Here is a 23,042-nt window from a genome sequence, read left to right on the forward strand (position 1 = left end):
ATGCTATACCTTCACACAGACTAGAAAAGGATAAATGACACACACGATTACTAAAACTAGAGACCTTAAGACTCCTACATAATACAATTTTAAAATATTTAGTCCATTAAATATGTTACATATATATATGGCTTAGATGAATACAATTTCCAACCACTGCTTATACAACCAAATGACCAACAACTCTTCTTGCAGAGATCAGCATAAGACAAAACTACAAAAAAAAAAGTATTAAAAAGACTGGTGAGCAGAAGGATGTAGTTAAGGAAATATGAAATGTAGAGTCAAAAAGACTTTCCTTAAAAGCCAAAGCCTGCTATTTAACCCTGCTGGGCAAAATATTTAACTTCTCTCATCTCCAACTTCCCTTGCAAAATGAGAAGAATACCAAAATCAACATCATTTATGAGATGATTAAATGAGATAAAATACATGAAAACCCCACCAAATAGTAAATGCATAAAGTTTTCTAACAAATTGTTCAGGTTCAAACACAAAACCAAATTTAGACACTGAAGGTGAACTGGTAAGGTTGGTTTGTTTTATATGTAACTTTTCTGGTTATAAATGGTAACACTGACTTCTGCTCCTGACTACACAACCATTTTGAGGCACCCTGAATAAGCTTGTCTTCGTTTAAGTAATAGATAGTTCCAGAAGCTCAATATTGGCACATTTTTATAACACGTCAATTTTTCTAGAAAATACTAATCCTTGCCCAAAGATGTTCTTCTTAGCTAACTGAGAGGCTGAGGCAGGAAGATTTCACTGCACTCCAGCCTGAGCAACAGAGCGAGACCCTGTCTAATAAAAAAGCTGTTCTTCTGACGCTGTAAGCACATATTCTGCTATTGTCCTGCAATGATGTCAAGAATAACATAGAAAGCTTATTCTGCAGTTTAGTACTCAAAAGACTTACCTGCAACCCTCAGCAGCTCAGCAAGGCCCAGAAGCTTGGTGGATTGTTTATAGCATGTGGGGGACTGGGAAATACACTCCTTGATGAGACTGATCCGATCAGGGCACAATCGCACTACAAAAGAAAGACGTATTAAAGACTTGGACCAGGGACATCACAAAAGGGTGTTAATGGCCTTCCTAATGCAAGGCATCCAAAGAAAATGAAAACTGGGTAAGGCATCAGATGAAGGAGAATTAAGTAAAAGTAAAAGGCACGTTTAACAAACAGCAAAATTATTATTGCTTCTGAGTAAATAATGTACAACCTTGATCTTTTCTTCATAACCAAACTTCTGAAGCACAGGAAATGAAGTGTTAATCTGAAACTAGAAAAAACTGTTTCACTGTTTTATGTACCATGTCAGGACTTAGGGAAAAATTTAAACGAGACAGTATTTGTCTCTAAAAACTTCATATACTTAGTATTATACCAGCCCCCTCAAACCTCACCCTCTAAGCCCCATTCCTTGCTCTAAATATACATTTGCTATCTCCACTCATTACCCCAGTTTGGAAGGCAGGAGTCTTCAAAGTGCTCACTGTTGCAATTTATTAACCTTCCTCCAAACATAAGCCCAATTTTCTCACATAAACTGGATATTAGGAAAATAAAACACATCTGATCAAACCAATTCAAACTATAAAGAAATGAAAATCACATTAAAAAAACCCTAGACAAAGGGTACTACGTATATTCTAGGAACAAATGGTACTTATTTACAGCAGAGATGGCAACCTTTAAGAAACACAGCACTGCCAGGGAGGCTGGCCCCCAATAATTATAATAACAACAACTACGATAATAGCAACTGATGTGAAAGGAATACGAGCTATGTCTCAGGCACTGTTGGAGGTGCTTTATGTATATTAACCCTACACAGCAAACTCTTATTAATAGAAGGCAGGTACTATTATCCTCAAGAGAAGAAACTGAGGTGCAGAAAGGTTAAATACTTTGGCAAAGGTCACTGAAAAAGTGATGGGACCAAAATTCAACCCAGCTCGCTAAATGTTTTCACACCTTGAATCCTTTATCCTTTCCTAAACCCATGGCTGTTCTCCATATATCTTGTGTTCTCTCAAAACTTCTACATAGGTGAGAGGGGCCAGGGACGGGGGAGATAAAGAAGAGAGGTGGTATTTTTCCTCTGGAATGGGCTTTTTTGGGGAAGGTAAGGATTTACTACAATTTAATGTTGAACTCAAAAAAGGTTGCAAGGAAAGTACAAAGAAATCCTCTATACTCTTTGCTGAGGTTAACAGATGATTAATAATTTGCGCCTTCACACATGTCCATGTGCAATCATGCATGCATACAGTCCCTGCTTCCTTCCTCTGTATATTCACACAGGAATATGTATATACACACACAAATACTTATACATGTACAAATACATACACATATTTATAATACACATATATACAAGTGCATATATACACAAATAGTTACACATATATACACACAAATATACATACACATTTATTTTTTTCTGAACCATTTGAGAATAAGTTGCAAATAACATTTCTCTTTATTGCTAAATACTTCAGTGTGTGTTTCCTAATGTTTTGACTTTTTTTTTTTTTTTTTTTTTTTTTTGAGATAGAATCTCCCTCTGTTGCCCAGGCTGGAGTGCAGTGGCGTAATCTCGGCTTACTGCAACCTCCACCTCCCAGGTTCAAGCGATTCTTCTGCCTCAGCCTCCCGAGTAGCTGGGACTACAGGCACGTGCCACCACGCCTGGCTAACTTTTGTATTCTTAGTAGCGACGGGGTTTCACCACATTGGCCAGGCTAGTCTAGAACTCCTGACCTTGTGATCCGCCCTCCTCGACCTCCCAAACTGCTAGGATTACAGGCGTGAGCCAATGCACCTGGCCTAGACTCTCTTAAAATGAATATTTATACATCTACAACAATAATCCTGTTGTGTGTGGCCTTTACTATAAAATATAAAGTAAATATACTTACTCTTCAGTTACTTCCTTCAAAATCACCATTGCTAATACCTACATCTGAGTATAGCTTCTGTAGACTGTATTACTCTTCCCAATTATCCACTGCAACTATTCATATCCCAAATTCCTGCTTCAGTAACATGAGGCTTGGCCCTGTGACATCTACAGGCAATTAATGTGAGTGGAAATGACATATGCCACTTCTGAGTGAAAGCTGTTAAGAGTCATCGTGGAATTCCACTACAGATCTTTCCCTTCTACTGTGACAAGACCGTGTCTCAAGGGGTGGTGCTGCGGCTAACCAAAGTGGACACGATTGTGAGCAAGGAATAAGCCTGTTATCACATATTATGGAGATTCTGAGTTTTTCACAACAGCACAATCGTAAAAACTCACCGATACAGTATACTTCAAGCCTTTCCATACCTTATCACAATAAAAACACTATGGGTTTTTTCCTCAATATCCGCTACTATTTTATGGGGCTTTTTCCAGATTCAGTAACATATGATAATTGTGAGATAGGTACTTTTAACACATTTCTAATTTTATTTTCAAAACAAAATTTGTTGCAGATATTATCTGCATTCCACATATGTAAAAATCTGGAGTTTTCATAGCTGCTTTTATGGCTTTGTTGATGAATTATTGTATTCTTCTTAGAGAAGCTCTAGCTTTAGTAATTCTACTAAACTGACTTCCTTACTTTTACCACTCTTTTTCCACCTCAATAAACTCAAGGTAGAGAACTGAAACCACACATAGCAATGGATCATGATTTTCTCTAAACTTCCATTTAATGGAACACTCAAGTTTGATTATTTGTCTCCTGTTGCCCTAAGCGATGCACACTACTAATATTTGAAGTACATTAAATAAATTTGGAGAGCAGAAGTCTAATAGACTGCAATTACCCTGTTCAAATGACTTTTTACTTTATTTACTTACGTATTTTCTGATCCTCTGGACAATCACTATACCAGTTCCCTTTTTCTGCTGATTTAGGGCCTGCTTAATTATATTTCAAAATGTGAATTCTCAGTTAAATAAATTCAAGCCCTATCTTTCCAAGAAGGAAGAAGTGTTCAACTCCTAAAATTCCTTTCCAAATTGAATGAATGAACATGAAAAAGATAGGCATGTACGTACCTTTTAATAATTAAAGATAATCTAATTTTCCTGCAGAAATCATGAATATATCTCAAATGATTTTTCAAAAACCTATTATAAAACACACGTATACACACACACACACATACACGTGCATGCACGTCTCAGATGTAAAAAGCATTTTCTAACCAGCCACCTATATTCCAAATGCCCCTCAAAAGATAGCTGTGCAATATCAATTGCAGTCACTTGGGAATGGCAACAGAGGCCCACAACATATGAAGTTGCTAGTGATGCTGTGGAAGTATTATACAAATCTGAACCGTGTGGGCAAGGAAGGTGTAACACGCAGGAGTCAAACACTTAGCTGACCAGTAGGAGGACAAGTAAGAGTTTCCTTCTTGAAGAATCTTTTGCTCTCACATCTTTTCCTCAGTAGAGTATTCTCCACTGTTACAAATGCAGGTTCTTGAGCCAGACTACCTAGGTTTGAATCCTGGCTCCACCTCTAACTAGCTGGATGACCCTAGGCAACCTAGGCAAGTTACTTAACCTCCCTGGGCCTTGATTTCATCATCTGAACATTGGAAACAATACCACCACCTCATAGGGTATGGTTTTAATTTGAGACAGGGTCTCGCTCTATTGCCCAGGCTCGGGTGCGGTGGCACAATCTCAACTCACTGCAGACTCAACCTCCTAGGACAAGTGATCCTCCTGCCTCAGCACTCCAAGTAGCTGGGACTACAGGCATGCACCACCAAGCCTGGCTAATTTTTTAATTTTTTAAAAAATAGAGACGGGTTTTGCCATGTTGCCAAGGCTGGTCTCAAACTCCTGAGCTCAAGCAAACCACCCACCTCAGCCTCCCAAAGTCCTGGGATTAGAGGAGTGAGCCACCATGCTGCCTAAGGCCATGAGAGCCCACCCTTTGCATCAGTGTGCCCTGGATGTGAGACATGGAGTCAAAGGAGATTATTTTGGAGCTTTAAGATTTAATGACTGCCCTGCTGGGTTTCAGACTTGCAGGGGCCTGTGGCCCCTTTGCTTTGGCCAATTTCTCCCATTTGGAATGGAGGCATTTATCCAATGCCTGTACCCCTATTGTATCTTGGAAGTAACTAACTTTTGATTTTACAGGCTCCTAGGTGGAAGGGACTTGTCCTGTCACAGATGAGATTTTGGACTTGAACTTTTGAGTTAATGCTGAAATGAGTTAAGACTTTGGGGGACTGCAGGGAAGGCACGATTGGTTTTGAAATGTGAGGACATGAGATCTAGAAGGGGCCGGGGTGAAATGATATGGTTAGGCTCTGTGTCCCCACTCAAATTTCATCTTCAATTGCAATCCCCAGGTGTTGAGGGAATGACCTGGTGGAAGGTGACTGGATCATGGGGGCAGTTTCCCCCATGCTGTTCTCATGATGGTGAGTTCTCACTAGGACTGATGGTTTAAAAGCGCGGCACTTCCTCGTTCTCAAATATACTCTTCTCTTTCCCGCCAACAGATGAAGAAGATCCTTGCTTCCCCTTTGCCTTCTGCCATGACTGTAAGTTTCCTAAGGCCTCCCCAGTCATGTGGAACTGTGAGTCAATTAAACCTCTTACCTTTATAAATTACCCAGTCTTGGGTATTTCTTTATAGCAGTGTGAAAACAGGCTAATACAATGCCCAAAGGGCATTTTGAGAATTAGTGAATACATATAAAGCATATTTGGAACATAAAAATCACTCAATAAATATTAGCTATATTATTACCTACCGCCATATTCACAGAAACACTTATAAAGAATAGAATCTTCTAATACAAGGTTTCTCCAGATATAACTTACAGGACTGTGTCAGGAATATTTTATTATTATCCCAATCTGAGAAATGTGAAGCTCAAAGATACTGTTGCCACAGGTTACACAGCTCAAAGTGGCTACATCAGAATGTAAACTCACACATGACACTCTGGGGTAATCCTGTCTCCTTATCAGTGTGGTAGCCCTGTAAAGTCATAGAATGTGCCTTGTCCCCATCATTATTTCAGTTCCCAGAGTAGGGTAAGTGCCTAAATTTATGTTTATTAAATGAAAGCAAAGGGGGGATGGAAAGAGGGCAATGAACAGAGGCTGAGGAGGGAGGGGAAGAATCTGAGGAAGAAAAGAAAATGAATGAAGAGAAAGGATGTGGGGAGAATGAGAAGACAGGTAAGACTACACTAATTCTATGATTATTTAAAAAATACCTTTAAGTATAAAAATAATCATTGATATTGTACAGTCCTTACTATATCTTAGGCACTATAAATGAACAGACATTCCTTATAAGCAATTCTGTAAGATTCTTATTAGTACCCCCATTTGGTAAATGAGGAAACTTAAAGAAAGGTTAAAACTTGCCCCCAGTTACCCAGTAATAAGTGGCAGAAGTAGCTCCAGGCTGAGTGTAACTATAATGCTGTAAGTCAGAAAAGCTGACTTACCCTATTATAGAAATAACATGTGGACCAAATGAAATATTCAAAGGCTGTTCATTTAAATATTAAGAAAAATTTACATAAACACCCAAAATAAAGAGAAAAGCATATACATATACACACACAAAAATATTTCACAGAAGACTCACACATAGGGAGTCATTTTTACATGCGACTTCTGTTCCTGTTTTCAATTGGCTCATTGATTATAATTTAGTTAGAACTGCTAGCCTTTACTTGATGAGAAACAGCAACTCCTGGAGTGTAGGCAAAGAAGGCTTCAAAACAAAGCAAAGTGACAAAATGAACTACGTACACTGACTACAATAAAAATACCTAAACCATAAATTTCTAAATATCTAGTTGTTTTCTTTCTCCAATATTACTGATGAATACAAAAGAAGCTAAAACCTAAATGGCATCTGTAAGATAAACACAACAAAAAGTATACAAAGGCAATATTCCATCTTCACATCCAGAAGGTTTTCTGACAGTCATTCTAATAGGAAACTCCAAATCAATATATCAAGCTGGAAAGCTGTCAAGACATGAAAGCAAATGTCTTTCTTAAAATACTCCTCAGTCAGAAAATTCTCAGAAGCCACAGCAGGGCAGCGGTTTTGGTTGCAGGTATTCAAACCCAGCAGCTGATATACACATATTACCAGCAAAAAATCCTGCTAATTGATCAGCACAGAAAATCAGGGCTTAATGTAACATTTCAAAATCCAGTAGCACTTGGGTGGACTGTAAGAAAATGTTTTGTATTATACCAATCTGCTTGAATTAAATAAGGAGGTAAAACACAGACACACAGGCACACACACACAGAGTCAAATCCGTAACAGCATGGCCTAACAAGAGATACAAACAGAGCAAAGGTTTCATAGTGCTCTGGATTCTTCCTTGACTAAAATTGCAATTAAATAAATATTTGAGGGAGACGTAGTTAATGACTTCAGACATTTAAGAATTGAAAAAAGTAAACCTGATCAATCTTCACAATTTTAAGAAGTTTTGAGCTCAAAAGTCACATGAATTGTACAAATGAATAAAATTTTCCAGTGATTTAGCAATCACATTAGATAAAATTGCTTAAGATACCACAAGATAGTTATAATCACGTACAAATTGTTTCCAAACAATGATATTCAAAGTAATAATAATATTACCTCTTTTGAGTCTAATAAGTTATTTTGAGACAGGTTCTAGGTCTGTTGCCTAGGCCGGAATGCAACAGCGTGATCATGGCTTACTGCAGCCTCAACTTCCTGGGCTCAAGCGGTCCTCCCACCTCAGCCTCCTGAGTAGCTGGGACTACATACGCATGCCATTACACTCGGCTAACTTCTTTAATTTTTGTAGAGACAGGGTATCACTATGTTGCCCAGGCTGGTCTCAAGCTTTTGGACTAAAGTGAACCTCCTACATCAGCATCCCAAAATGCTGGGACTACAGGTGTGAGCCACTGTGCCCAGCCTAATGAATTTGTCTGAGATGCAAAACTTTAACTTTTAGTCAAGCCACGTTGGAAACCCACTGAAAACATGAGAATGCCTCTACTGGCTCATATCTCTAAAATCCATCCAGCTCTAAACACTACACAGGACAAAGACACCAAGGAACTTGTAAGAGATCTAAACCTCTACCACCATCAGTCTCAAATATTTCCAGACTTAAGAACAGAGATAACAGATTACAAGGAAGCCAGCCAAGCACACTGCTAATAATACCAAGCCACTCTGTTCATTTAGGGCACAGAGGTCCAGGATTTAATGCAACAGAAAATCTACCTTCCTCAACAGGGAAGGTCAGGTTTAAGGTCCAGTACACCATGAGATGTAAACAGTCCTCACAGCATAAATAGATGAGACAAGTGATTCTGTAGCAGGATGCTTGTTTGGGATGATACCAAGTTGACTTTTATATTCAAATAAAAGAAGTTGAGTAATATTAAGATATCTCTAGTAATTAAATTCTAAACAAAAATTTCTTATCGTTCCCTCTTTTAAAAAAATAGATGGACGTAATATACTGAGTCAAGCATAAAAAGAAAAAAACTATTTTTATTTATAGCTAGTTATTAATCTATGCAATGGAAACAAAATACAGAAATTGTAGATCAAAACTGATATAAATCTGATATATTCTCATCCATAATCCCCAATATCTTTTTTTGTTTTTACTCTATACCCTCACTGCTCTGTTACCGATGTTATTTCTTTAAATGTTATACACGTGAAATTTAAAAAATAAATTTATGGTAAAATGTTGGCTTTATTTTTTCTTTTGGGTTTCCACTTGAGATTTCATTTAAAATAATGGGTCAAGGGCAGGATCTATTGCTAATGGATTACATGACCAAAGCTACTCTTTAGTTTTAAAAACTAAAAAAGAATACTAGTAAATTGCTGCAATATAAGTTAGTAACAATGCAACAGTAAGTAGAAAACTCACCTTGCAAAGGCAGGATCTTTACCCCAAATTCTTCAAGACATCCAACGGCTTGGATAAGATCTAGCTCCTCTTGAATGGCAGGGGGTCTGTCTGTTATCAGTTGTAAGCAGCACCTAGAAGAAATTAGATAAATTTTTAAAAAGAAGCAACATATGTTCACCTTTCTATACTCAACACCATGAGATCTAACACATATTTATCAAAAATCTACCACATCCCAGGAATTCATTCCGCTGGATGCCTTCTGTTATCTTAATCCTCATAGCAAGCCTCTGAGGTAGGCAAACATCATCATCTATCTGCCTTTTCAGGGAGCTAAAACTGAAACTCACAGAAGTGAAGTAATTGCCCACAGTTACATCCACAGTACATAATGGCATCATGGTAGGAAGCATCATAACTCTGTGTTCAGTGCCGTTTTTACTGTTGAATGCAAACATTATGATTCTATTACAAAAAAAAATTTTAAAGGATGAAGTTCAGATAATTTCCAGTTTCCCTTCTACGAAAAACAGAAATGTCTTGATTTGGTCACAATGTGATGTCTCAAAAGAAACAAGAAATGACTTAGGGAAATGCAGAGAACATCTTTCTGATCAAAAAAGAGAAATCTGTTGGTAATACACAGTTCTGAGATGAACCATAGGAGAAAGTGATTTGCTAAGCTAAGAATGTGGGATTCCCATGGAATATTTTAAGTAAATTTTTGTTTAAATTCAAAGAAACTGCATTTAATAAATGTTTCACTTGATGAATAAACTCATTCTCTAAAGGTGTTTAGAGGAACATTGGAATGTAAGATTAGAAAGACAGATCAGGCGGTAACGGGCTCATGAATGCTAGAATCACAGATCACGAGATGCAGGTATCTAAGCCCCAGTATGGCATCCATATGACTGAGTGACAGATACAGGCCAAGCCTGCTCTCGTAAAACTGGAGGATTTAAATCAGTTGTGCACTCACATCTACTGTTGATTCAAGTGTGAAAGGTCTATAACCTCTTTGTGGTTTCTATCAAAATTGTAAATGTACTTTTTTACATTTTTTACTCTAGACCCAGGAATTACAAATAAATTCTAAATTACAAATAAATTCTAAAAATTTACATTACAGATAGGCTCGCACATGCTCAAAGACATATAATTGTGGGTGCTCACTACCAAATTGTTTTTAAAAATGAAAGAAAGCATACCAAATCAGGAACAAATTAAATAAATTATATAATGGAATGTTCTACAACCATCAAAAAGGAATAAAATAGAACTGTCTGTACTCACATGAAAAAACCTTCAATATAGAATATGAGTGAAAAAAAAACAGGGCATAGAAAGGTATGCATAATAGTAAGAATTTATTCATGATTTAAGAAAGAAGAGGTAACATTTAATCAAATGTTTTGGAAGGATACATAAGAAACCGATATTTAAAAATGATGGAAGGATAAAGTTAGGGGAACTAGAATGAGGAGGGAGATTTATTGTCAATACATATATCCTTTTTGTATTGTTTGGATATCTATTGCTTCCTCAACAATTTATTTATAAAGAGTTTATAAATAACTCTTTAATCAGTAAAAATGTAAGCGCTATTTCCTGCATTCAATATAACTGTGAACACTGAAATACATCCAGGCTCACAGGTCACAATCAGTTTGGTACCACATTATACACACAGGGCATGTTTGTGAAATGAAGGTGATGAAGGTGTGTCCTTGCAAGAGAGAAAGAGATGCAATGAAGGGGAAATATAGAAGGACCGGCTTTTTAAATGATCTCTGGGAAACACCTGCCAAAAAGATTGAGGTGAAATACAATTCCCAGTTTCAAAGGCTATTTGGTATTTTCAAAGACTATTTGGTATTTTCATCATTTGAAATAAAAATAGAATCGCTTAGGAGAAAAGAAAGAGCTAACTGCTTTAAACAACTTTGTCAAGTTCAATAACATGGTTTGTGAAACATAATTCCTTCTGAGATAAGATATCACCTGTGTGGGGGGAATGGGGGGACTTGGTGCAGGAGTTACTTTTAAGCGTTGCTAGGTCTGAAATAAATATTAGTCATCTGGGGGAAAATGAATCTCTCCAATATATCCTTTTTGTATTGTTTAAATATTTATTGCTTCCTAAATAAAATGCTAATTAATAAATAATACTTTAATCATTAAGAATGTATGGGTTATTCTCTACATTCAACATAACTGTAAACACTAAAATACACCCAGGCTCACAGGTTGCAATCAGTGAGGTGCCAGGTTACACACATACAGCATGTTTGTAAAATGAAGGTGCTCCAATTGCTACCATAATCAAAATATCAAAATAAATTCCAAATAAAGATAAAACTGAAATGTAAAAAATAAAACTATCAAAGCACTAAAAAATATGAAAACCTGTCATAATAGTCTTGGGATTTAAAGGTCTTTCAAAGGATGACAGAAAAGACAGAAATTGTAAAAGAACCACAATTTTAAAAAAATTCTGAATAGCAATTGGAAAGATAAATCATATATAATGAAAACTTGGCAATGTAGTAAAATATTTGAGATAGGCATAGGGTAAATATTCCTTATGCCTCAAAATAAGCTCCTAAGAATCAATAGTAAAAAGATGAACACCCCAAAAGAAAAATAAGTAAAGGCTAGAAACAAGTTTCAAATGAAAAAGTGCAAATGAAGCTGTTCAACAGACAAACACTGGAAAGACTGAAAATTAATTTAGAGAAGGGGCCCTTTAGTGCCTTAGGGAATGGAAAATAAACTGGTGCCACATGATAACAAAGACCAAAATTTTGCATGTGCTTACCCTTTGATTCAGCAATTCCACTTTGCATTATCCATCTACAACAGGCACAGTTCTAACTATTTTACATACTCAGTTAATATTACAATAGCCCTATGATATAAGCCTACTATTATCCACATTTTACAGGTGAAGAACCTGAGGCCCTGATGACTGGCCCAAGGTCACATACCTGTTAGCTGGAAAAAAGTGGATTTGCACATAGCCATCTGGCCCTAGAAACTGCTGTGTTCTTAACCTCTACACTCTGCTGCTTCTTGGACAATGAAAAGGTGTACTAAATGCAGTCAGAAAAGAACTAAACAAATCTAGCACAACCACTCAACACAATGCTGTAAAGCATATGAAAATGCTGCAGATCTGTATACACTAGCTCAATAAACAACTGAAAAAACTGTGTAATAAAAAGAAATGTATAGTATTATCTCATTTTTGTAAAACTATATACAGGTATAACATGCAAAATAGTGGGCAAACGATTGGGCTCAAAAATCTCATTACTTTATTTAAATACTGAGTGGATAATTCCTATCAAATAAAATGTATAATCTCTTATAGACTGTTAACCAGAAAATCTGAGAAAACAGGATAAGCTTAGGATGCACAGTGTTAGAAAAATCAGACACAGTAAGAATAACAAATAAGTAAATAATTTGCTAGAGACCATAGCCACCTTATTACTGAAGAGATTCTACCTTTCTTCAGTTTATTTGATCAAGAAACAAAAACTGAGAGATTACATGACAAACTCAGGGCCTCAGAAAAATTGTCAGTTGCCTTGAGGCGGAAAAAATAAATTAAAAAGTATGTCTCTAGAAATGAATGAGGATCAACACAACTCTGAGTAAGAAAAGTAGAGCAGGGTCTAGAAAGGGGATCTCAGACAAAGAGAAACAAAACAGACTCAGATGTCCAGGGTACAAATGGAAGGAGAAATACGTATTAGAGGAACTAGACACTGCAAACGAGAGTTGGAAAATGGCTAGTGGAAGAACAGCAGCGTATCAGTCAGCAGGCAGGGGACAGAGGACATAATACAATTGAAGATGTGCCTTGACTTACAATGTGATTACATCCCAATAAACCCATTGCAAGTTGAAAATATCATAAATTCAAAATGCATTTAATACACCTAACCTAACAAACATCATAGCTTAGTTTAGCCTACCTTAAAAGTGCTAAGAACACTTCCATTAGCCTACAGTTTGGCTAGGCTTTTAATCATCTAACACAAAGACTATTTTATAGGAAAGTGTTGAATTTCTCATGTAATTTACTGAAAACGGAACTGAAAGTGAAAAACACAATGGTTGCATGAGTACTCAAAGTACTGTTTCTACTGAAAGCATATCACTTTTACATTATCATAAAGTTGAAAAATTGGAAGTTGAACCGTCTTAAGTTGGGGACTGTCTGTAAACCACTTTTCTGAAATGTTGAACAAGGAAGATAATCTTTTTTAAGCTTTTAAGATTCATTAATACAGAGGTGATACATGTTTTATTCCTTGATCTAGATTTATTATGCTCTTTTAATTTTATAAAAAATTAACTTTAAAAAAGCAACCTTAAATCCTGAATGAATTATTCTTAAAAAATCGCTGCAATTGGGTATACCTAATTACGAGAACTCAGGTCATGAACACACCTTTCTAGTGTTAAATAAGAGGGGTGAGCTAAAATAGGAGTACAATGGGGACAAGAGAGGAATTGAACTCATAGTCTAGAAATTTCAGCCAGGAAGTGACTTCGGAGGTTTATCATCTAATCAGGTCCCTTGTCTCTCTCTCTTTTTTTTTTTCAAAAGACTTATGCCCTGGCATTTAGGTCCCTTGTCTCTAAACAAAGTGAAAGCTACATGAACGAGACAGGCATTACCTACGCATGCTGAAAATTTTCAGAACTTGAATTTATAGGCTATCACATGAATCTCTTCCAACAGAAGAGAAATACACAGCCTTATAATCAGCAAAAATGACCATGGGAAAGCGCGCTGGAGAAAAATGTTTAAGAAGCTGATGGACATTCATAACATAGTTTTTCTTTTTATATTCAAGCAAAAAATAACTGTGCCCCATATAGTGTAGTCAATCTGTACCTGTGATAATATATTTGGTAAAGAAAAGAATAACAATGCAGTTTGTACATTCTGACTTTCCCCCTCCATCTTAGGGAAGAATATAGAGTTATTCTACCTGGCTAGATCCATGCAGCTATCAGTGAGGTTGGTAGAAGAATTGAAGTACTCTCTGCTGGCAGCCAAAACCAAGTCAATACTCTTTTCGTAGCTGACCCTGTAGTGGGGTTTCCCTTTATGGGCTATACCAGCTGGAGGATTTTCTGAACAAGCACTGCAGTGCATCATCTGTCCAGCCAGGTGGATGTTTTCAAGGCGACTAGAGCACAGAAGGCTTTCTGTAAATATCTGGAAAAAAGGAGAAACTGGAATTAGTTATAGAGAGGGAAGATTCAGTTCTCAGTGAAATGAAGGCTCTGAAATCCAAATGAAAGAAATTAAAAACACATCCACCCTAGAGGTGGTGGCTGCACAGCACTGTAAATGTACTAAATGACAATGAACTGTATACTTTGAAATGGTTAATTTTACATTATGTGACTTTCTCCTCAATTAAAAAAAGTCAATCTTTTAGAAAGAATAATTTCATTGACTAAACCAAAATTAAGCATAATATTTTAATTTATTACAATAAATACTTGGGTCAAGTATCCAAAGTTGATATTCATTAAAAACAGGATTACACATACTGTCCCACTCTCAACAGGGCCCATTTTGCTTAAAACTATTTTTAACCATTTCTGTTTTTTTCTTTTTCCTAATTTTAATTTTCATTTTTAATATGGGTTCTTGCTATGTTGTCCATAGGCTGGTCTCAAACTCTTGGGCTCAAGCAATCCTCTCACCTTGGCTTCCCAAAGTGTTGGGATTAAAGGCATGAGCCACTGCATGCAGCCCCATTTTAATTTCTTAAAAGAAAAATCTTTGAATACAATACATATAATTCATAACTGCTTGAAGCATCTGAATTCAGTCTTATGAACTAAATAGCCACTCCACAAATGCTATACTTACAACCAGTCATTAAAATTACAATATATTATAATGTAGAGTTTTTTAATAACATACATATTAAAAATTATTTAAATAAAACAAGAGACACTGAAGGTATTCATACAAATATCATTGTACTCTACTAGACAACTAACAACATCAATTAACATAAAATTACTTCTATAATTGAGATTTATATAAACAAAGCAATCCTTTTAAACGTACATTAACAATGTTACATATAATTAGTCTAAGAACTTCCCCAAAAATGCACTTCCCTGTCACTCTACGGTTGGATAAGGATAGCACAGAAATAAGAGATTTTTAAAAAGTAACATTTAATGGAGAAGCAAGAGTTTCAATATAATTAAGAAGACCATCCAATCTTCATAGGATGCTCTTATTTTCACTTCTTTGTGTCTAGGCTTCCTGCAGAAGGCATTTTTAGACAAGTCTTGGTAAGATATCTGATAAGGATAAAAACACTATATCTAAGAGGGATCCGCTATAAAATAGATACTGTGACAGAAAGCAAACTATTAAAGAGCAACCCTAATCACTTATATCTGACAGATAAAAATGGCTTACAATACGTCTAATCCAAATGACTTATATGTCATAGTTTCTCCATATTTCTCTGGTCTACTCAAGTAAGCTGTAAGGAGTCAATGTCCAATACTGAAAAATACATTCACCCTCAAACTTGGAACAGTTTGCTAAAATGAACAACATAGATTTCTGTTCTACAGGCTATATATAAATCTTTATCTAACATTTTCAAAATTATGCCACTGAACTTATTTTCCAAGGACAGCAAAATCTAACAACCAAGTCACTAAGACAACATAGTATATTTTAAATTATATTTAAATTTTAAGTTTGTCAAATCTATATTACTGTCTCCTACAGCCTTTTCAAAACTGTTATAATATGCTTTCAAATGTTTTCTCAACAAGGGAGACCCGTGGACAGAAGTCATTAAAATATCAAAGCCTAATAAAAACGTGTTAAAATATTTTTAAAATGTAATATAATAAGTTGTTTTGATGGATTACTCCACACAGAAACTAACTCAAATGTAATATACTTACTGCCAATTTTGCAATCAGAATCAGAAACAGGAATGTATCAAAATAATGTCACTCCAATGCACAAACACTACCTCAAACACACTAGTGACAGTTGGGTTTTAGATCTCATGTGCATACAAATTATGTTCTAATGAAGTTGGTTTCAGGTTTTGCTTTAGATGCAAAAGGGGAAGACAATGGCAGTTGTATGTGGTCAGAGACTGCAATCATCAATAAAAACATTAGTTATTCATGCATTTAAAAACTTGAAATTCAAATATAAAACCATTCATTTCTCAACAGTCTACATTAGCACACTTTTGTTAAAATCGCCCTGAATTCAAAAACTAAACAATTTCACAAAGCAGAGACCTATTTTTACAATTCTGATTTCATCAATGGGTTATGCTTTGTGGTATAAGAGCAAAGCGACACAAGAAATACTCTTTATGATTTTGTGTCTGGCTTATTTAACAAGAAAATTCTAATTAAAAAAACTTGTTTTAGACTGCATGTTATTAAAAATGAGTTAGGTCATTTTTTCCACACAAACGGAAATATATATATATTGGTAAACTGCCTTTGACTTGGAGATTTTACACACAGAAAATGGAAATATATATACTGATACTCTGCCTCTGACTTGGCAATTGGACACACGCGTGCACGCACACACCCACACACAGGTGTACATATCTATTCCAAATTAATGAGTAAATCCCCCTGGATTATACTCCCAGTCAACTGACAACTATTTCTTACGTATCCTTTATATTCCATATGTTATAATATGCACTAGGGGATATGAGAGTTCACATGATATAATAATGCCTGTCTAGGAGCTGAGGACCAAATGGAAGCAATGCACAAATAAACAAATAACTACATTTTAAAGAAAGACCATAGTAGAGGCAACTTATGAGGAAGGACAAAGATAATTAGTGAGCTGAGTTCTGAACTTTTATTAGGAGTTTTCTAAGTAAAGGAAAGAGGAATATATTCCAGGCCAAGGGAACAACGTGTGCAAAGTGAGGGAAACATGAAACAGCACGGTGGATGGAGGAAATGATGACAGGCTTGATGGTGCTACTGCAACATAGGGTACATGGTGGACAGTGACAAAAGTGGAAGAGGTGAGGGAGCTGGCATCTTCTATAGCTTTCTATGTCATGCTAAGGAGTAGAGCTACTTTTTGATTATTGATATGGAACAACAACAAATTTTTAGAAGGGGTGTGTCATGAAAAGATTTGTTTTAGAAAAATACTCTTTATCAGTGTAAACCAGAGAGTTGGAAGTAGGGAAACAAGTAGGGGGATTGCTGCAGTTCAGCAGAGATGAAGACAGGACAGATTTGAAGGTCTTTCTCAGATGCATTAGACAAGTGTTAGTGACCACCAAAACTATGGAAGTGAGAAAAGTCAAGTACGATTCACATTTTCTAGCTGATGATTAACCTACTAAACAGATAGTGTTGCAATGAAAAAAGACAAGGGAGACAGGAGGTTAAGGAATAAAGTGCTCAACCTATAAAGCACTAGTCAGTTATTAGCTATTATTAAATAATATTACTTCCAGGGTAGCTTATGGTCATCAATCTTGTATCCAATAAACCATAACAATTAAAATTGTTAAATTAAAAAAAAATCGTATATGGTTCTAGAGTTACCTCATAGCAGGCATCAGAATCTAGACATGTGTATACATTCTGCTGCATAGTTAACATGTCTTGCAGCAACGTTCTCCAATGAGACTCACTGACAGGAGGCTGCCTGGAAAAACACATAAAAAAGACAAGGAAGAGGGAAAGAAAACAATTAAAATCTCTTTCTTCAAATGATCTAAAGTTAAAAAAACAAAAACTGGTACCACCACTCTATATCCACATCAGCTCTCAAATGATCAAAAAGAATATATCTCCTTTAAATAGACAGGAAAACACTTGGATTAAAGATAGAGGGGAAAGTTGGGCAGCTATGCATCACTGCTAGAGATGGTGACAAAGTGGTCTGTCATAGCCTGAGCAGACACAGGCTGGAATGGAATTGAATGGTAATTACAGTAAAGGTAAAGAAGCTGTGAGTTTCTAAGGTAAAATGAACCACTGCAAGATAAAGCAGCTATGATATAGCTTGATGACAGAGGTTGGTTTCAAATTCCATCTTCATCACTCAGCAATCCCTGTCAAGGAGTCTTCTTGACTTCAACTGAACATTCACATCCATAGGACAACCGCAGGCCACATTTGCCATCAGTCTGGGGGACAAGAATCGCGGCTCACCAGCAGGGCAGCATCAGTTGCTTCTTACAGTGAGACTACTGGCAGCAGTCCACAAAGCAACTCACAGAGCACTCCAGGAGTTATCTTCTCAAGTGACCGCCCCAGTACAAGAAGCCAGAGCCTCAGAGAGTAGTCGCTGGCATTGCTGTGTCCGGCGTAGGAAGAAGCTTCATGTCCTAAAACAGTCAACATCTCTTGCAACACACTCAGGAAAGCCCAAAGCATAAAGCCCCTATCAGGTATTTCCAGTTCATTTACAGTTCCTCCAGGCCAGAGGCAATTTACCAATCAGGGATCTGTTTTATCTAAGTAGTGAGGCCTCTATAATCTGGTTGATTAAAAACCACTTTATATTGATTTACAGAGTTACAGAGCTAGGAAATTAATGGTCAGATTCTCCCATAGCAGGGGAAAGGGTTTTGTTCCCAAATTCACCCATAGTCACAAATTGGTTGTGTGATTGTGAGCAAGTCATTTAATATTCTTGACTTTCACTTTCCTCTCTGGAAGCTCACTTCAGTGATAAACAATAAATGAGATTAATTTTGACAAAACACAGGCATTGAAGCAAGATGCTCCTAAATATAAGAATAAGCTAAATTACCCATGGATTTGAATAAATTTTCTAATCTCTCTGAACTTTAGATTCCCTTTTTGTATAGCATAAAGATTAACTTATACTAAAATATATGAAAAGACCCCCCCCCCATTTTTCTGGTAAACATTCAACAAATGTGAATGAATGAATCTGAAATTACAAATACATCTTGTTTTTTTATTTTTTAAGTCACGTATATGATTCTAATATTGTTTCTAGTAGGAGAGACAATATACTGTAATTCTCTCTGCCTCTCTCCAAAGTTCATCTTAGTTAAATACACATGAGTTTGGAATCACCATTTATGTTTACTTTCTAGTCTTGACATTCTACATAATCATGAATATCATTATTCAAGAAGAGCAGGTTTTTGTTTTAAATTGGTCAAATACCAACTAGACGATGTTTCTTTTTCATGCATCTTTTTATTTTTTATCTTTTACAATGCCTTTAAAAATCATCACTATTTCCAAACACTATGCATTAAAAACAGGGCAGATAGATTGTATGTGTTTAATAGTTATTGCTATAGAGAAAGTATATATTTGGGATCATTACAGCAAAAAATATAGTCTTTAAAATTTTTTTCTCCTAAAATTTTTAATAAGCACATGCTTCATTTGCCTATGCATTTAATATTTATTATACAAAAGAACAATTACTCTTGTTCCACATGCAATTAGGCATAAGAGAACACTTTTTTTCTTCCAGCACACAAATACACAAAACAAACTGATATATTTCAAGTATTTCAGGACAATCCATATACTGTTTCCATTTGTTTGACCTGGGTACATTAACTCTTTAGCCTTCAAAAAACTGGAGGGCTCTTTCAGATTGCTTACAGGCAGAGAAGTAGCAGAATGTTTGCTGAAGTGAGTGTCCATCTTGCACACACTTGATAAAATCAGATCTAGGCACTGTCTAGCTGAATTCAATTTCTTACAGCCCAGCTGTTCTTCTGGAAGCCATCAACACTGGGGCAGATGGTACTAATGTTTTCTCGCACATGGCTAGCTGTAAGTACAGGTTCTAATAAAAATAAACTACTATGCATTACTTACAATGGCCTTTTTAAGAATATATTCAGTAAATAAGAATCAAGAGCAGAACTTGAAGAAACCAAGAGGTTTGCAAATTAACAGACAGATCCTGAACACGAATGTATTAGTTGCAGCTTTGGAATAGATGTGGATTTCCCAGGGAGAAATAGTAGTGTACTCAAGTTCGTAAAACTTGCATTTGTGAAGATTTGCTGACATCTGCCACCCTTTAGAATATGTATAAGAATATTCTATGGGTAGTGAAGGTCAAGCCATGGAAATACGCATAAAATAATTAAGATTAATTTCAGGTCAACTACTGTGAAAACAGGCATCACATTCTCTTACATATTCACAGTAAATAGATTACCATGAGTAGAAATTAACTTCAGGGACTCCGTAAGTATTTAGGGAACTAATTTGGGGGGTTGGGGGAGATGGGGTGGTAGGTAATCTAGCAGCAATTGCAATGCTTTCCTGCTGAAAAGTAGATTTTAGAGTAAAATCAGCATGATCTTGGAAATACTGGCCATCCATTTTAGCTATAAAGAAATCTTAAGGCATTTAAATAGTCAAAGCTATCTAAATTACCAGAGAGGGCCACTGATATGTAAGTTCCTAACTGAGGTGTATGGTGGCTATAACACTTGCACTGGAGAAATTATGATCTAGAAGGGAACTTAAGGCACATGTGTTAATGACTGTAGTATAGTTGCAGTGTAACACCGTATAGCTGCAAGAGACAGTCAGAGAGGTAGATACAAAACGCTTAGGAATTTCTAGGAAGGAGAATTCAATTAAGCTTGGAGGAGTCAAACAAGGTTTCCTGGAAGATGTGTTGGAGCCAGCTCTTAAAAGATAGGAAGGAATATACAATAGTGTGTTTTTACTGCTGGATTTTATTTTTACTTTGATAGTTGGGTTAAACTGAATCTCTAAATCCTAAAATTTAGGTAAACAAAATATGTTTTAAAAGTTCTTGAAAAGTTGCCCTTGCTTAATTCTACTCCTTCAGGATTAGTGCTTGGGGTGGCTTTTTTTCCCAGCCTTCTTTACATTTTTACGTAGTCTCCCTACAGATCTGGAATTTAACTGTCCCATACACACATGGGGATCACTCTCAAATCCATAACTCCAGTTCGGACTTCTCTGCTGATCTTCATGTCCACCTTCATAGCAGCATCTCCACCTACTGTCCGGCAAGCACCTCCAAGTCATAGTTACCCTTTATTTTATGCATAAACTAAATGACTACTAGGTCAAAAAGTTGTTAGTTTCTTTATTGACCATTTGGATATCATCTAACTGAAATGTCTTTCAACTCTGTTGCCAATTTTTCTTTTCTTTTTTTAAATATATATTGGATGTACTATGTTGCCAATTTTTCTACAGAGTAATCTGTTAGTTCTCTCATGGCCTTCATAGCCTTTATAAATATTCTCTTCATATTAATTGAGTGTGTCCCCCTCTGGACCAGGGAGGTACGACATCTTTTTCTTTGTAAGCCAGACATCAAGCATAATACTGACACAAAGTATGTCAAAATCCATAATAAAATATTCATTAAATAATGTAAATAACAATTCGTAAATAAATGCACAATTATAAAGTATTAATTTTTTTTTTTTCTGAAGGAGTCGCCCAGGCTGGAGAGCAGTGGTGCAATCTCAGCTCATTGCAAGCTCTGCCTCCCGGGTTCACGCCATTCTCCTGCCTCAGCCTCCCAAGTAGCTGGGACTATAGGCACCTGCTACCATGCCTGGCTAATTTTTTGTATTTTTAGTAGAGACAAGGTTTCACCATGTTAGCCAGAATGGTCTCCATCTCCTGACCTTGTGATCCGCCCGCCTCGGCCTCCCAAAGTGCTGGGATTACAGGCGTAATGAATGTATGAATATTAATTGTTCAGTTTTCCTGTCTCTATTGTAACTGGCTCTAAATGAACTTCCAAAGAACTTAGCAAAATTTCTAATTTCATTAGATGTTCTACTTTAAATGATGACAATATAGAAAGAGACAAAATGAAACAAAGTTTTTCCAGATTTTTAAAATCTGTCATTATCTTTTCACTCACTTATTCTCACTTATTCCTTTGAAATGAGTAGCTAAAAATTATCAGTGTTTTAAGCAACACATATTAAAAAATGAATAAGTCATTCATCTGGAAATTATTTTTTTTTTTAAGACAGTGTCTTACTCTGTTGCCCAGGCTGGAGTGCAGTGGCAAGATCTCGGCTCAATGCAACCTCCACTTCCTGGGCTCAAGCGATTCTCCAGCCTCAGCCTCCCTAGTAGCTGGGACTACAAGCCTAAGCAACCACACCCAGCTAATATTTGTTTGTTTTTTGTAAAAACAGGGTTTTGCCATGTTGCCTGGGCTGGTCTTGAACTGCTAAACTCAAAGCGGTCTGCCCGCCTCCGCCTCCCAAAGTGCTGGGATTACAGGCATGAGCCACTGTGCCTGGCCCATTCACCAAATCTTTATTAAGCAACACAGTAAATATTTTCTGAGCATCAACTATGTACCTGTCATAATGTTTTTATCAAAGATTCTATACTTGTGCAACTCTCAAATGAATATATACATTTGCTGGAATTTTTATGGGGAATGCAGGAAAAAAACAGATGAGTGAGAAGAATTGACACCTTTCCACTATTGATTCTTCCAATCTATAAACATGAGGTATTCCTCCATTTCTTCAGATCTTTAATGGATCTCAACAATGTTTCATAATTTTCATATATATACTTTTGCATATCTCATGTTAGATTTATTCTTAGGTATTTAATGTTTTGATACTATTATAAAGTTTTCCACTTCATTAGTCCTGCACATCTCATGTTAGATTTATTCTTAGGTATTTAATGTGTTGATACCCTTATAATGTTTTCCACTTCACTAGTCATGTAAGAAATGCATATTAAAAAAAAAAAGAAATGCATATTTTAAAAAGACAATGAAATGCTACTATATACCCATCTAAATGGTTAAAATGGGAGAAAAGAAAATCAGTATCAGGTATTTGTGACATAGAGGAGTGACATAACTCTTACACATTGCTGACAGAAATATACACAGTACAACCATTTTGAAAAACTGTTTGGCAGAATCTTCTAAAGTTGAACTCAGGTACATCCTATGACTCAGCAGTTCCACTCCTAGGTAGATATTCAAGTGAAGGACAGAAATATGTACACCAGAAGACAGATAAGTACAAATGTATTCATAGCAGTA

The 23,042-nt window shown here is 36.2% G+C and overlaps 1 protein-coding gene across 11 annotated transcripts in view; it reads right to left on the reverse strand.

Moving 5' to 3' along the window:
* Positions 1-23,042, reverse strand: part of NBAS (NBAS subunit of NRZ tethering complex) — a 782,426-nt gene that overhangs the window by 586,752 nt on the left and 172,632 nt on the right. For all 11 annotated transcript variants that reach the window (XR_007076390.1, NR_052013.3, XM_017004317.2 and 8 more), the window contains 4 exons: positions 17,555-17,657; positions 13,942-14,171; positions 8,948-9,060; positions 920-1,033 (listed from right to left, as the gene is read on the reverse strand). Coding sequence is in view for 9 of the 11 variants with exons in the window: in XM_017004317.2 (XP_016859806.1) it covers positions 920-1,033; positions 8,948-9,060; positions 13,942-14,171; positions 17,555-17,657 (560 nt within the window). In the remaining 2 variants the exon portion in view is untranslated. The remainder of the gene's footprint in view (positions 1-919; positions 1,034-8,947; positions 9,061-13,941; positions 14,172-17,554; positions 17,658-23,042) is intronic.

This window comes from Homo sapiens, chromosome 2 (genome assembly GCF_000001405.40).
Source record: "Homo sapiens chromosome 2, GRCh38.p14 Primary Assembly".
NCBI lineage: Eukaryota > Metazoa > Chordata > Mammalia > Primates > Hominidae > Homo > Homo sapiens.